This window comes from Homo sapiens, chromosome 15 (genome assembly GCF_000001405.40).
Source record: "Homo sapiens chromosome 15, GRCh38.p14 Primary Assembly".
Taxonomy (NCBI): Eukaryota; Metazoa; Chordata; class Mammalia; order Primates; family Hominidae; genus Homo; species Homo sapiens.
In genome coordinates, this window is record NC_000015.10 from 22,890,421 (window position 1) to 22,906,294 (window position 15,874).

General features: G+C 50.0%; 1 protein-coding gene across 10 annotated transcripts in view, besides 4 other annotated features; it reads right to left on the reverse strand.

The window, feature by feature from the left end:
- The window catches only part of CYFIP1 (cytoplasmic FMR1 interacting protein 1), a 113,847-nt gene that overhangs the window by 23,369 nt on the left and 74,604 nt on the right, over nt 1–15,874 (reverse strand). For all 10 annotated transcript variants that reach the window (NM_001324119.2, NM_001324120.2, NM_001324125.3 and 7 more), the window contains 2 exons: nt 13,286–13,485; nt 2,470–2,557 (listed from right to left, as the gene is read on the reverse strand). In NM_001324119.2, coding sequence (NP_001311048.1) covers nt 2,470–2,557; nt 13,286–13,485 — 288 coding nt within the window. The remainder of the gene's footprint in view (nt 1–2,469; nt 2,558–13,285; nt 13,486–15,874) is intronic.
- Nucleotides 986–1,485: an enhancer, noted in NCBI's record as "H3K4me1 hESC enhancer chr15:22981163-22981662 (GRCh37/hg19 assembly coordinates)". NCBI's record gives its function as "activates a minimal SCP1, AML or CMV promoter by ChIP-STARR-seq in primed H9 embryonic stem cells {active_cell/tissue: H9 hESC(primed)}" and the evidence as "EXISTENCE:reporter gene assay evidence [ECO:0000049][PMID:30033119]".
- Nucleotides 1,486–1,987: an enhancer, noted in NCBI's record as "H3K4me1 hESC enhancer chr15:22980661-22981162 (GRCh37/hg19 assembly coordinates)". NCBI's record gives its function as "activates a minimal SCP1, AML or CMV promoter by ChIP-STARR-seq in primed H9 embryonic stem cells {active_cell/tissue: H9 hESC(primed)}" and the evidence as "EXISTENCE:reporter gene assay evidence [ECO:0000049][PMID:30033119]".
- Nucleotides 5,052–5,141: an enhancer, noted in NCBI's record as "active region_9159". NCBI's record gives its function as "activates an Ori minimal core promoter by ATAC-STARR-seq in GM12878 lymphoblastoid cells {active_cell/tissue: GM12878}" and the evidence as "EXISTENCE:reporter gene assay evidence [ECO:0000049][PMID:35858748]".
- Nucleotides 5,332–5,441: an enhancer, noted in NCBI's record as "active region_9160". NCBI's record gives its function as "activates an Ori minimal core promoter by ATAC-STARR-seq in GM12878 lymphoblastoid cells {active_cell/tissue: GM12878}" and the evidence as "EXISTENCE:reporter gene assay evidence [ECO:0000049][PMID:35858748]".

The following is a 15,874-nucleotide window of genomic DNA, read 5'->3' on the forward strand; positions in this document are numbered from 1 at the left end:
AGTGAGGGGGAGCCCCGTAACAGCTGTGGCGCACCCCTGCCCAGGCGTGCACCCCACCCTGCCCCACAGAGGAGAGGCCCGGTCACTGCATTCTTGGCGCCTGGGTACCTGTCTGGATGCCCTCCTGGGGCACCAACACAGCCACATGAAGCCCAGAATCACACGAACTGTGTGTCCACTCACAGTTCCACAGCCATTAGGAGTTGCTAAGAACAGAGACAGGGTGGAGGGGCACAGCGGAGGCCGCACCTGCCAACAGCCTCGAGAACACGAACAGAGACAGGGTGGAGGGGCACAGCGGAGGCCGCACCTGCCAACAGCCTCGAGAACACGAACAGAGACAGGGTGGAGGGGCACAGCGGAGGCCGCACCTGCCAACAGCCTCGAGAACACGAACAGAGACAGGGTGGAGGGGCACAGCGGAGGCCGCACCTGCCAACAGCCTCGAGAACGCGGAGTGTGGAATGATGGAATGAGCCTGTCCCATGTTCTCCAGGCATTGGCGACCCTGGCCCTCATGTGTCAGCGAGGCTCCCAGCCCTGACATTTTTCTCCCCAAGGCAGGCAATGCCACCTCCCACCCCCACCTTTAACCTTGTCTTTGTGAAAGGCAAGAACCCACTTCCTTCAAACATCTGCACCCTAGAGAGGATCTGAATTGTATTTTTTTCAATTGCCATCATAACATTGCTAAAAAAAATAACCCCTAAAACACTAAAGATGGCCAGGCGCAGTGGCTCACACCTGTAATCCGAGCACTTTGGGAGGCCGATGCGGGCAGATCACCTGAGGTCAGGAGTTGGAGACCAGCCTGGCCAACATGGTGAAACCCCGTCTCTACCAAAAATACAAAAATTAGCCAGGCATGGTGTTGCACACCTGTAATCCCAGCTACTCGGGAGGTTGAGGCAGGAGGATCACTTGAACCCAGGAGGCGGAGGCTGCAGTGAGCCGAGATCATGCCACTGCCCTCCAGCCTGGGCGACAAAGTGAGACTCCATCTCAAAAAAATAAAAAATAAAAAGAACATATTTTCAAGGACATAATGTTTACACAGTCACCCTTGGTCCACGTGGGCCCCGTTTCCCGAAGAGGAATCTCACATCCCCTTCATCACTGCACACAGTTCAGACGACCTGTCTCTCCTGCTCAGAGATGCTCTGAGTGCCGTAAAAAGGCCGCCCCCGGCCCACACTCGCTCTTTTCAGGGGCGGGAGAGACGGGCAGCGTATGCCGAGGCTTGGGCCCTCCAAAAACCAATGCCCTGATTTGGGTGTTTGCCGTTTCCCAGGTGCAAACACTTGCGCTCCTGCCAGGTCCAAGGCACTGCCCTGTAAGGAGAAGGAAGACGCCCAAAGGACTGGAGTGAGAAGATCTCGCTCTGAAGAACAGAGGGTTAGAAAGGAATGAGTGGAAAACATTGTTTCCGCCACTCAGAGCCAGCTGGTGCGTTAGAAAGCGTCCAGGTGCAGGCAGCGTGTGAGCGGCAGGGCCTGGGCCCTCTCCATCCCAGCTCCAGGCATTGGGCAGATGGGGCAGACAATGTCCTGTGATTGTCCCCGCTTCCTACAAGCGAGGACACTTAAATACTGATGAGTGCTGGCAGCCTGCCCCCACCGCAGAGCCCGGGGACACCGCAGCTCGCAGAGGGAAGACGCTTTCGCTCTTCACAGGCGAGCCGGATCCTCTGGCCTCATCCTGGGGGCCTGCTGGCTCTTGCCGCCATCATTGTTCCTTCCCCAGCTCCGCTGAGGCTGGGGATCTGCTTGTATTTGCTCTGCTCTATTTTTGTGGGGTATCTGCTCATTTCATCTCTCTTCGTTGCTACAATGTTTATATTTTCCTTACTAAATCACACGGGTGCTTGAAACGTGAAGAAACTAGCCCTTAATAATACTCAGACTTGTGACAAGCCAAGCCACCCCCAGCGTGGACATCATCCTATCTCACACATGGTAGACCCGGGTGCTCCGGGTTTCCACCCTCCAGGCACAGGCGGACATCCTTGTTTCTGGATGTCAGACCTTCCCTGGGCTCACCTTTCCAGCTCCGCTCCTCCGGTCAGGCCTTACAGCCACCCTGGGCCTCCTTATCTCAGGAATGCACCTGAGCCTCTTCCACTTGTCTTCTCAGCTTGATGTTTTTAAACCTGTAATCTTCCAACAATCTCACTTGTGTTTGTGCTGGGAAAGAGACCAGGCCCAGCCTGACACCTATCACAAGGCCAGAGCTGTCCCAACACTACGTACGCGCTAGTTCTAGATAAGCACTGTTTTGGGTTGGTTGGCTAGTTTTTGTTTTAAATTACTGCTACTTTTCAGGAAGATGTTAACAGAATGGAAAAAAAAAATAACATTTTATACACAGCGTGATACATTTAGGTCACTGCAACCAAACCAATTAAACTACACTTCAAAACATGCTTCATTATGAGCTTCAAGCTCGTAACACGAACACATTGGAGCCTACCTTGGATCCATGCAGATACTGAGGCTGTGCATTAGGCTGCTTATCTCTTTGAAATTCCTGAGAAAATGGTAACACTGTCCGAACAAACCTAAACAAGAAAGATTTAAAAAAGAAAAAGAAACCAAATTTAACAATAGTTCTTTAAAATTCAGAAGTCCTCCATAATCCATCTACTAAATCTTCCTCCCAGTCAACTGATACAATCATCAAATAGGAAAATTCTAGTGAATCGAAAACCATAGAACGAATGAGATCTCAATACTCAAATATAATAAATGCACCCAAAGCTCAGGGGCCACAGCAGGAACACCCGGGGTCTGGTCTGCTGTACCAGAGCCGCCTCGAGCCCAACGCAATCCTCAGGTAGCTCGTGGGCTCTGCTGCGCTTCCAGACACGGCGAGGACGGTGGGGCAGCTGCCTGTGACGAGAACGGCGACGCCCCGGTGGTTCAGATCACAAGTTACACACCAGCAGGGAAGGACAGGGACACTTAGGTATTTGTAACCCACTCAATTAGTCAAGAGATTGTGTCTTGATAATGGATTAGGGGACACTTAAAATCGAATGTGTCCATTTTCATGCAGAAACATCAAACTCAGCTAAGCCTTTCAAATTGGAAGGGTTCGTTTAAACACATAAAACTTTTGCAAAGAAGTATAAGAAAGACAATTTTGTGGATTTGCTAATTATGTAATTCCAAGCACTTGATTAACTCATATTCCACTTCAGGAAATGGAAACAGATGTAATTGTGAAAATACTGCTGTCCCACACAATGTGTGCATCTGAGAGGACGTGCTGCACAGAGGAGCAGCCACTAGGCCCCCTGACCACCTACCGCAGTACTTCTGGGTATGCCTTTCCAAACGGATCCTAAATCCCTGTGCTGTCAGTATGCCAATATCCCTGGGTGCCACAGTCCTCAGTGCTTGGCATGCATGTCTGTCTGCATGTCTCTGTGCACCTGCATCTGCGTGAGTCCATGTATGGAGATGTGTTATCTGCAGATGTGTCTGCAACAGGATGTGTGCATGTCTGTGTGTCCCTGCGCCTGTGTTCTTAACACCCGTTCCAGGAAGTACATTCCATCAGGAGGCGCTACGGTCAGGGTGATGCTCAGAAAAGGGAACCCCATTTCCCAGAGATTCCTGGGCACTGCTCACACCCTTGACAGCAGCACACCTGCAAAGCCACGGCACACTCATCAACCTCTGTCCACCTCCGATGGTGACACACCTGCAAAGCTACGGCACACACGTCAGCCTCCGTCCACCTACAATGGTGACGGCGGGGTGCGGGAGAAGACAACAAATGGAAAATCAGAGTAAAAATCCATGCAGGGAGCCAAGCGCCAGGATATGATGCCACTTATATTACAGCAGACTTTTCTTTTTTTTTTTTTTTTTTTTTTTTTTCTGAGATGGAGTTTTGCTCTTGATGCCCAGGCTGGAGTGCTGTGGTGTGATCTTGGCTCACCACAACCTCCGCCTTCCGGATTCAAACGATTCTCCTGCCTCAGCCTCCCGAGTAGCTGGGATTACAGGCATGTGCCACCAACGCTTGGCTAATTTTGTATTTTTAGTAGAGACAGGGTTTCTCCATTTTGGTCAGGCTGGTCTTGAACTCCTGACTTCAAGTGATCCGCCCACCTTGGCCTCCCGAAGTGCTGGGATTACAGGCATGAGCCACCACGCCCGGCCTAGAGGAGGCTTTACTACTATGTCTGCTTAGAACACAATGTTTTCCCTGCTTAGAATGTTTAAAATGATGGTTAAATTTAGAAAGCAGGCCTTAATTTATTTTGTCTATGATATAACTCAGATACAGAACTGTTGAAGTAATGCAATTACTCTTTATAATATTATTTAAAATTTTAATCAAAATACATATATATGATACATAACATAATACATGTATTTATTCTATATAATTATATATATACATTTATAGTCTATATGTATATATTATATATTTTATATATATATATATTTTTTTTTTTTTTGTCACCCACACTGGAGTGCAGTGGTGTGATCTTGACTAACTGCAGCCTCAACCTCCTGGACTCAAGTCATCCTCCCACCTCAGCCTCATGAGTATCTGGGACTACAGGTCACCATGCCTGGCTAATTTTTTTTTTTTTTTTTAGACAGAGTCTTGCTCTGTCGCCCAGGCTGGAGTGCAGTGGCGTGATCTTGGCTCACTGTAAGCTCCGCCTCCCAGGTTCAGGCCATTCTCCTGCCTCAGCCTCCCAAGTAGCTGGGACTACAGGCGCCCGCCACCAAGCCCAGCTAACTTTTTGTATTTTTAGTAGAGATGGGGTTTCACTGTGTTAGCCAGGATGGTCTCGATCTCCTGACCTCGTGATCTGTCTGCCTCGGCCTCCCAAAGTGCTGGGATTACAGGCGTAAGCCATTGTGCTTGGCCTTAATTTTTGTATTTTTTGTAGAGACAGGGTCTTGCCACGTTGGCCAGGCTGGTCTCGAACTCCTGGGCTCAAACAATCTGCCTGCCTTGGCCTCCCAAAGTGCCGGTATTACAGGTGTGAGCCACTACGCTCGGCCTCTATATTTCTAAATAATACATTTCTACAACTTCTTCTTGATTTATCAAGTTTAGATACTGATTGACTCCTGGGTAGGATTTGGTGGCCTCTGGCCCAGTTCTAGGAGGCAGTCTCTACACCCTCATTTCTGAGTGACAGGAATGACTGGTATCACGGGGCCACACCTGACTTTATGCTAGCAAGATGACTCAACATGGGGCTGGCCACACCAGAAAGACAGCATGGGGTTAGAGGCCTGGGGCTGTGTGCCTGGTGAACTCAGCTGACTTCCTGGGAGGTGAAGGGCTGGAGGCTGAGCTCAGCTACGTGGCCAGTGATTCAGTCAACTGTGCCCATGCAACGAAGCCCCAATAAAAACTGAACACCACAGCCCAAGTGAGCGCCCCTGGCTGGCAGTACCCTGAGGAGCGTCCCACCTCAGAGCTCGGAGGGTGATGCGTCCCTGAGGACAGGGAAAGCTTTGCACATGGAAACCTCCCAGACTTTGCCCTGCACATCCTTCCAACAAGCATCCTTTCCTCCAATTGACTATAATCGTATTAGGGCACGCCCAGTGAGTACTGCGAATGTGTCACCTGAAGAGCTGGGGAGGGTGGATCCTGAACTGTAACCTGCTGGTTAGAAGTGAGGGTGGCCCCAGGGACCCCAAATGTGTGGCTGGTGTCTGCAGCAAAGGCAGTCTTGTGGAGGACTGTGCCCTCAGACTCTGCAGTTTGACAATGTCACTGCAATCCCCTAAGAGGAAAACTAAGTTTCAGCACCAATATCCTAAGCCCCCACTGCACGTTGCCTCGGGTACACTGAGGTTCAGCTCCAGCCTTATTTTGACCTGGTCAGTGCTAGGCCCAACAGTGGCTCTTTTCCTTTGTGTCGATCCTGCTTGAGGTTTATTGAGCTTCTTGTATCTGTGGGTTTATCGTTTTCATCAAATCTGGGAAATTCAAGGGCATTAATTTTGAAATCTTTTCTGCCCCCCGACAACCTCTTACTAGGATTCCAATCACAGGCATATTAGAATCGCTGATGTTTGTCTCAGTTTGCTGAGGCCCTTCTCGTTTTTTTCATCATTTTTTTCTTTTGGTGCTTCAGTTCAGCTAGTTTCCACTGTTATAATCTCAAACTCACTCAACTCCCGCAAAGTCTACTCTGATATTCGGCCCAACAAGTAATTTTTCATTCTAGATACTGCATTTCAGCTTTAATTCACTGGATTATTTATATAACACCCATTTATCTCTGCATTGTTTTCCCTGAATCCTTGAGCACATGCATAGTCGCTGCCTTAACATCCTTGTCTGCGAATTCCATCATCTCTGTCATTTCTGCGTCTGTTTTGTACAGAGTGATTTTTCTCTGGGCTATGGGTCACATTTTCCTGGTTCTTGGCATATCTAGTAATTCTTGATTGGGCACTGGGCATTTCAGTGCCATGTTGCATGTCTTGACTTTGTTACTGTCTTTTAAAGAGTGTTGGCCGGGCGAGGTGGCTCACGGCTGTAATCCCAGCACTTTGGGAGGCCGAGGCAGGTGGATCACCTGAACCTGAGGTCAGGAGTTTGAGACCAGCCTGGCCAACATGGTGAAACCCCATGTCTACTAAAAATACAAAAGTTAGCCAGGCGTGGTGGCACATGCCTGTAATCTCAGGTACTCGGGAGGCTGAGGCAGGAGAATCACTTGAACCCAGGAGGCAGAAGTTGCAGTGAGCCGAGATCACACTGTTACACTCTAGCCTGGGCAACAAGAGCAAAACTCTGTCCCCGCAAAAAAAGGAAAACTAGTACAACAAAGGGACGTGGAGAATAAAATGAGAAGGTCTAACTAACATATATCTAACTGAAATCCAGAATGGCAAGAATAGGGAGAAAAAAAAAAGAGAGAGTGTTGAATGTCTTGGGGGGCAGGCAGTTGACTTACTTGTCAATCTGCTGGATCTTGTCATGATGAATTTTTGGCACTTGTAGGGATGGGCATAATTCAGTACCTCTGGCACCTCTAGTGAACATCTGGGTGTTCAACAGGGTTGTTTTTTTTTTTTGTTTGTGTTGTTTTTTAAAGATAGTCTCTGTCACCCAGGCTGGAGTGCAGTCGCGCATTCTTGGCTCACTGCAGCCTTGACGTCCCGGGTTCAAGTGATCCTCCCGCCTCAGCCTCCTGAGTAGCTGGGACTACAGTCGCCTGCCACCACGCCTGGCTAATTTTTGTATTTTTAGTAGAGGTGGAGTTTCACCATGTTGGCCAGGCTGGTCTCGAACTCCTGACCTCAAGTGATTTGCCTGTCTTGGCCTCCCAAAGTGCTGGGATTACAGGCGTGAGCCACTGTGCCCAGCCTCAACAGAGTTCCATTCTTCTTGCTAGTAGGAACTCAGAAGCCTCCTGGCCTTGTGTGAACGCTGAGAATCATTCAGCTAGCAGCTCCCTGGCACACGCACAGTTTAGTATTCAAGCAAAGGCTATGGGATGCCCATGTGGTTTCAGGAGCTGTTTCTGTTAAGGTCCCTGCTCTCTCATATGCCACCCTGCAAATTCCAGCTGCCTCAGCTTCCCCAAGTTCCAGTTTGTCCCCTCTACCAATCAGGAACTTCCAAGCTGTACTTGGACTGTTCCTCTCTGAACTTGGTCCAGAAAGTGCTTTCAGATGGAAGTCAGGGAGATCACAGGGCTCACCTCACTTGCTTCCGTCCCCTCAGCAAAAGGTCCGAGTCTGAAAACAGCTGATCCATACGTCCTGTCCAGTTTTTCACTTAAGGAGTAAGAATAAATCTAAACCCTGTTACTCTATCATTCCAAATAATTTAATTTAATTTTATTTATTTATTTATTTTGAGACAGAGTCTCACTCTGTCACCCAGGGGAGTGCAGTGGCACAATCTCAGCTCACTGCAACCTCCATGTCCTGGGTTCAAGCAATTCTCCTGCCTGGGCCTCCTGAGTAGCTGGGACTACAGATGTGTGCCACCATGCTCGGCTAATGAATTTTAAACATAATATTTTACTATATATTCTCAATCTAAAGATAAAAATTTGATAACAAATATTGAACTAGAGTTGGCAGGTTTGTGTTTTACGGTGGTAAAAATGAGCAATTCTTTCTTATTTTGAGACAAGGTCTTGCTTTGTCACTCAGGCGGGCGTGCAGCGGCATGATCACAGCTCACTACAGCCTAGACCTCCCCAGGCTCAAGTGATCCTCCCATGTCAGCCTTCCAAGTAGCTGAGACTACAGGGGTGTGCTACCATACCCAGCTAATTTTAAAAACCTTTTTGTAGACCAGGCACGGTGGCTCATGCCTGTAATCCCAGCACTTTGGGAGGCTGAGGTGGGCGGATTATGAGGTCAGGAGATCAAGACCATCCTGGCTAAAATGGTGAAACCCCGTCTCTACTAAAAATACAAAAAATTAGCCGGGCGTGGTGGCGGGCGACTATAGTCCAGCTAATCGGGAGGCTAAGGCAGGGGAATTGCTTGAATCCGGGAGGCAGAGGTTGCAGTGAGCCGAGACTGTGCCACTGCACTCCAGCCTGGGTGACAGCATGAGACTCTGTCTAAAAAAAAAAAAAAATTTGTAGAGACGAGGTCTCCTTATGTTGCCTAGGCTGGTCTTGAACTCCTGGACTCAAGAGATCTTCCTGCCTTGGCCTCTCAAAGTGCTAGGATTACAGGTGTGAGCCACTGCACCCAGCCAGGATTAGCAATTCTGAAACTACTTTCTGTGTTTTTTTGGAAATGAGCAAATGAGTAATATACTAAGAATAATGAAGCAAGGATCCTCAGTGTTTAATGAAGTCAGAAAAAGGGAAAGAGAGAAGACTAGAATGAACTCTGCAGTGCTGAAATGGAATTGGAAATATCAGTATAAACTTATAGTTTTAATACGTAGGTAACTATATAGAAATAAACATGCACATTGATATGGTTTGGCTGTGTCCCCACCCAAATCTCATCTTGAATTATAACTCCCATAATTCCCACGTCTCATGAGTGGGACTCGTTAGGAGGTAACTGAATAATGGGGGCAGGTCTTTCCCATGCTTTTTTCATGATTGTGAGTGAGTCTCATGACATCTCATGGTTTTAAAAGGTGAGTTTCCCTGCACAAGCTCTCTCTCGTCTGCTGCCATGTGAGACATCCCTCTCACCTTCCGCCATGATTGTGAGGCCTCGCCAGCTATGTAGAACCATAAGTCCATTAAACCTCTTTCTTTTGTAAATCGCCCAGCCTCAGGTATGTCTTTATCGGCAGTGTGAAAATGGACTAATACACATGCACATGTGGGCTATGGGTTGTACTGTCTCTGAAAACAGTATGTTCGTCCAGGTGCAGTGGCTCATGCGTGTAATCCCAGCACTTTGGAAGGCTGAGGCAGGTGGATCACCTGAGGTTGGGAATTCAAGACCAGCCTGGCTAACATGGTGAAACCCCATTTCTACTAAAAATACAAAAATTAGCCGGGCATGGTGGCAGGCACCTGTAATCCCAGCTGCTCAGGAGGCTGTGGCAGGAGAATCGCTTGAACCTACTGGAGGTTGCAGTGAGCCGAGACTGTACAACTGCACTCCAGCCTGGGTGGCAGAACGAGACTCCGTCGAAAAAGATATGTTCAATCCTCACTCCTAGTACCTCAGAATGTGAAGTCTGCTGGAAAGAGGGTCACCACATATGTGTCTGGCTAAGACAAGGTCATACTGGAGTAGCAGGGTAGGTCCTTGACCCAATATGACTGAAGTCCTTGCGAGAAGAGAAGAGACAGAGACACACAGGGACAGTGGCAAGTGAAGACAGAGAGGAGACTGGAGTGATGCCACTGCAAGCCAAGAACACCCAGAACTGAGGTCACCGCCAGAAGTAACAGCTCTACCCAGTGTCTCAGAGGGGGCGTGGTCCTGCTGACACCTTGATTCCAGACTTCTGGACTCCAGAACCGTAAGAGAATAAATTTCTGTTCTTTTTTTTTTTTTTTTTGAGACGGAGTCTCACTCTGTCGCCCAGGGTGGAGTGCAGTGGTGCAATCTCGGCTCACTGCAACCTCCGCTGCCCGGGTTCACGCCATTCTCCTGCCTCAGCCTCCCAAGTAGCTGGGACTGCAGGCGCCCGCCACCACACCCAGCTAATTTTTTTGTATTGTTTTAGTAGAGACAGGGTTTCACCGTGTTAGCCAGAATGGTCTTGGTCTCCTACCTCAGGATCTGCCCGCCTCGGCCTCCCAAAGTGCTGGGATTACAGGCATGAGCCACCGTGCCTGGCCGAGCCTGGAACATCTTGTGGTGCAGAAAGAATGGTGGAGACGGCCCCAGGAGACTGAAACCAAGCAGGCAGCTCCCACTGCCCAAACCGCACCCACCCCAGCCTCAAAACTCCACAGTAATGGATAATCCTTAGTACAAATAAGCAAATAATAAACAAATGCTACCACGTACAGCAGAATTCCAGCTAGTACCTGCAGAGGGAATGAAGGAGTTAAAACTCAGCTGGGCACGGTGGCTCATACCTGTAATCCCAGCACTTTGGGTAGCCGAGGCGGGCAGATCATCTCAGGTCAGGAGTTTGAGATCAGCCTGGCCAACATAGTGAAACCCTGTCTCTATTAAAATTATAAAAATTAGCCAGGCATGGTGGCATGCATCTGTAATCCCAGCTACTCCGGAGGCTGAGGCAGGAGAATCGCTTGAACTCGGAAGGCAGAGGCTGCAATGAGCCAAGATCACACCACTGCACTCCAGCCTGGGCAACAGAGTAAGACTCTGTCACAAAAAAACAAAAAAAAAAACCAAAAAAACAACTCACTGCTGTTCAACCACCAGTGTGAAGATAACTGATTCGGACAGGAATCGTCGACAGATGTTAAAACGACCGGGACAAATTTTAATGAGGGAGTTTGTTTACATCATCTCAAATTATCTCCCTACAAATTATAACTTTTAAACAGAAAAATGGTAACATGACAGTGGGAACACCTGGCAGCCACCACCTCACCCCAGGGACAGAAGTCACCATGAGCAGTGAGGGGACAGTTGCCGCCTTGGGCTCCAGGTGCGCCCCGCTGAGGACACGCCCTCCATCTATGGTCTTCTGGAAAAGAGGCCTAACTCTGGACTGAGGAAATACCCTTCTGCCAGCTTCTTTCCAGAGCTGCAGCACTGTCACACATTTACCCACTGTACAGGTTAAATTCCAGTCGCAGACCACCTAGGTCACCTCCTAGAGCCACCACACGTAGCTCACTAACCGGAAGTTAGGCCAGGCAACGAGCAAAGTCCTGGCTTGTGCCATGTAGCTCTCAGAAAACCCTCAGGCATGGGACTAAAATTCCGGGTAGCATGGTTTATGTGTCTTCTCAGGATTCGACACAGAACTTGGATACGCAAAATCCTGTTTTAAAATGCCTTTCCCAGATAACACAGCTCTCCTGATTCCACCAAAGACTTGTGGGAAATGCAGACACAATGGCTTCTACCAACACTCACGGAAGGTGGAGGTTGCTGAGTAAACCGGAGCTCTTCTGCAGAAAATGCCCCTGTGACAAGCTAGGGTTCCCTGTGAATCACACCTCAAGTGTCCCCAGGCACCAGGAGGCTGAGGTCACTGCATGCTGACCTCTGCCCAACAGGTATGGCCCGAGGCAGCAGCTCTGGGTCTCTTGGGGAAACAGGTGACACACATGAAATTGGTTTCCAGATAAGATGGAACCAGCCTGCCTGTGTCCAGGGTCCCCCATGGGTCCAGGGGCCTCCTGCCGCCCACAGTGGGGACGAGTGCAGCTACCTGGGTGTAAGGCCCCAGCAGATGGCTCTGAGCAGCTGCACGCATGGCACTGGGTGCACCGTGCTGATCTGCACACAGAAGTGTTCACGTCACCTCCCGGGGTGTGGGGAAGGAGGCGCCTGGCCATCCCCTCCCTGCTGCTGTGATGTATGTGGTACTGCAGGGGTGCAGACTCGGGATGGAGAGGCCGAGGGCCGCCCATGCCTCACTTTAGAGGACAAATACATTTTTACCAAGGAAACCTCTGGGGAGTTCACTCATTTTTCTCTCCTATGTATCCATGATTTCCCATTTTTCTATAATTTTGATATATTACTTGTGTAAGAATATTTTTGCAATTAATTCCAAGCATAAACATCTTTTAAAAATGTTGAGGAAAATGGACACCATAAAGGTGAGTTAAACAGAGACGGTGGTCTTCACGGTTTGGTTTCCATGGACCACTCCCAGCCCGGCCTGGAGGCCCCCTGAGCTGAAAAGCCAAGCCAGGTGCTGCCACCTGCAGCCCAGAGCGCGTGGCCATGACCCTGGAGAATGGCCTCAGTGATGCAACACACCTGGGCCTGACCCACGGCCCCACAGGAAACGCGGTCCTGCACCCAGGGGTCCTGAACAGACGACAGCCACAGCAGGCAGGACTGGGCCGTGGGGCAGCTGCGCCTCTCCTCTCTCTCATCAGAGCTCTCATCAGAGCTCGGCATCCTGTCTCCTGAGACACAAAACTCTGGGCCTACAAGTCAGTAAGAATTCAGCCACATGTGGGTGGGACGCGGAGATCAGAGGCAAGCACAAGCACTTATTTGTAAAAGTGCTCCTAACACTCGCATGTGCACACACCTGCACTCCTCTACGTCTGGATGGAGCTCAGTGGCCAGGCACCTTGCTTGGTGCCCTGGTCATCCCCCCAGGCTGTTGGTGTCTATGGGAAGGCATGGTGGGTGACACAGACATGTCCCTGGCACGCGCTGACACTGTATAGATGCTGAGCTCAGTGAGCAGAGAAGGAACCTCAGCCAGAATGACCGCCACCCGGTGTGCGGAGCCCAGGGCAGGGCTGTCCCAGGACTCAGGCCCTACTATGAGGCTGAACCTCAGGATACTGCCAGCATCCACCGTTTCACCACCAATCACATCACTTCATGCTGTCCATGGGCGGTGGGTGGGAGGGTGGCTTCCCCACACTCCAACATGCCAGCACGGAAGCATAAGAAGCAGACTCACCCCACTTCCACCATCAGGCAAACAGAAAGCCAGGAGATGCAGCCCCACGCAAGCCCCACGTGCAAAGCCATGACCATCCACCCGAGGGTAGACCCGAGGCTGCCTGTGCACACAGAAGACACTGGAGGGCCTGCGTGCTCTTCATGTGAGAAGTGATGGGGAGCAGCAAGAGCAGGGAGACAGGGACCTGGTGACATGGAGGAAGCCTGCGGGGACATGGGTCCCTGAGCGCCTCGCCTGTGGGCGCCTGTGTGGCGGGCACGCTCACCGGTTGGTAGAGCCGTTGTAGCAGTAGTTGGGCAGGAAGTCATAGTTGAGCTCCCAGAAGACGTGCAGGGTGATCCTCCCGTAGGGCGCTGACACGTTGTGGTTGGCCTCCCGGAACATGGCGTCGAAGCCGTCCAGCGTCAGGTACCGGCTCAGCAGCTTGTGGGTCATGCGGTTGATTTCCAACAGGCCATCCAGCTCCTGTGGCACCAAAGACAGGGGTGGGTGACAGAGCTGGTCCAGGCAGGAAGGAGGCGCCGAGTGGCCTCTGATCCCACCCAGGCCTCACAGTCCCTGGCAGGGCTGCACGGAGGCAGCCCCCAGTGAGCGTAGGCTCTGACAGGTGACATGAGCTTGCTTCTTGGCACCCCACCTTTTCAGTCACCCCCACTGGGTCATGCCTTTCTCCACTGCAGTCACCTCCACGCCACCTACCCCTGCTGTCCAGCACCCTGTGGGGCAGCGTGCACGTGTGGCCTGCTACTGCCACCCTTCCCCCCATGTGCCCGCTGAGCCCCGGCCCTGCCCTGCAGTATAACCCAGCCGGCGGCTGCATCTCCCTGGGCGTTGGAGCTGAGCCAGCTTTCTCTGAGGTGCCTGAAGTCACTGAAAGGCACGTGTGGGTGGCAGGGCAGGTGCACTTGTTCCCACAGGCCTTGCAAGCCCTCACGTGCGCTGCTCTGGAGCTCGCCCAGGCTGCACTGTCCGATGTGGCAGCCGGGGCCGGAGCACAGCTGCTCCCACCTGAGGCGCACTACATGAGACACCAGATTTCAAAGACTGAGTAGGACAAAACAGACTAGCAAATACCCACCTCAACTATACTGCCATAGGAATGACGTGGTGAATTAATATGGGGATACAGTGGATTAAGTATGTTATTAAAAATAACTTCACCTATTTCCTTTTCTAATGAGACTATGGGAAAATTTCAAATTACGGATCTGACTTGTGTTCTATTTCTATTGGACAGTAATGGCCTCGATCAAAGCCTCGACCAATGATTTTACTCAAAATCATATTTGGCCAATGCCAACAGAAACACCATGGCCTGTACCAAATTACGCTCGTAGAAAAAGGCCGCCACAGGTCTGTCTCTGAGTCCCAGCCTGTTTGACTCTAAGGATGAATACGCAGGGCCCTGCTCTGAAGTGCAGAGATGCTCACAGGGACACGCACTGTGCCCGCCAGCGCCCAGTGTCTGCCAGCCAAGGTCTGTTCTCCAGGAATGAACAATCCTCTGGAGCCCTGGCACGTTCATTACCATCTGTCTGCAGCCTTTATTCTCAGAAGATCAATTTGGCTGGCGACCAAACCCTCGATTCACAGTTCCTTTCCTTGGCTCTGGTGAAGGTCTGAGGACAATCGGATTTTCCTTCCCTGCCTGCCCTGCTCAGACAGCCCAAGGACTTCTTCCTCACCTGGAAAGTCCAAAACTTTCACTGCAATACCGTTTTTAAATGTATTATTATTATTTTTTCTAATCTTCAACCAGCCTAAGATGCAGTATTTCTAAGTGTTGACAAGCTTGGGTCGGTTTTACCAAATACATGATGTATGCTTTTAATAGACACTTTCAAGGTGTCTTCTATTTTATCAATATTTTCTTGAAATAGATGCCAGTCGGCCCTGTTCCGTTGCTTTGGTTTTCTTCTTGAGGAAGCTGTATGACAGGTACACTGAATCTTCATCATCCATGATGATGATCATCTGAGAACATCATTTCCTCTCAAATCCTTTTTCTGCTTTAATTTCTTTTTGATTTTAAAAATGTTCCCTCTTTTCATTCCTTTTTTTTTTTTTTGAGACAGAGCCTCAAAAACTCCTGGGTTCAAGCGATTCCCCTGCCTCAGCATCCCGAGTAGCTGGGACTACAAGCGTGTGCCACCATGCCTGGTTAATTTATTGTATTTTTTAGTAGAGACGGGGTTTACCATGGTGGCCAGGATGGTCTCGATCTCCTGACCTCGTGATCCATCCACCTTGGCCTCCCAAAGTGCTGGAATTATAGGAGCGAGCCACCGAGTGCCCAGCCTTCATTCTTATTTCTGTTTTTTTTTTTGTTTTTGTTTTGAGACGGAGTCTCGCTCTGTCACCCAGGCTGTAGTACAGTGGAACGATCTCGGCTCACTGCAACCTCTGTCTCCCGGGTTCCTGCCATTCTCCTGCCTCAGCCTCCCGAGTAAGCTGGGACTACAGGTGCCCGCCACCACACCCGGCTAATTTTTTTATTTTTAGTAGAGACGGGGTTTCACCATGTTAGCCAGGATGGTCTTGATCTCCTGACCTCGTGATCTGCCTGCCTCAGTCTCCCAAAGTGCTGGGATTACAGGCATGAGCCACTGTGCCCGGCCTTTTCTCTTTTCAAAACTTTCTTTTTTCCAATAACCTTATTTCTCGATTTATTTTTTTTTTTCTTTGAGACAGAGTCTTGCTCTGTTGCCTAGGCTGGAGTGCAATGGTACAATCTTGGCTCACTGCAACCTCTGCCTCCTGGGTTCAAGCAATTCTCCTGCCCCAGCCTCCCAAGTAGCTGAGATTACAGGCATGTGCCACCACGCCCGGCTAATTTTTTGTATTTTTAGTAGAG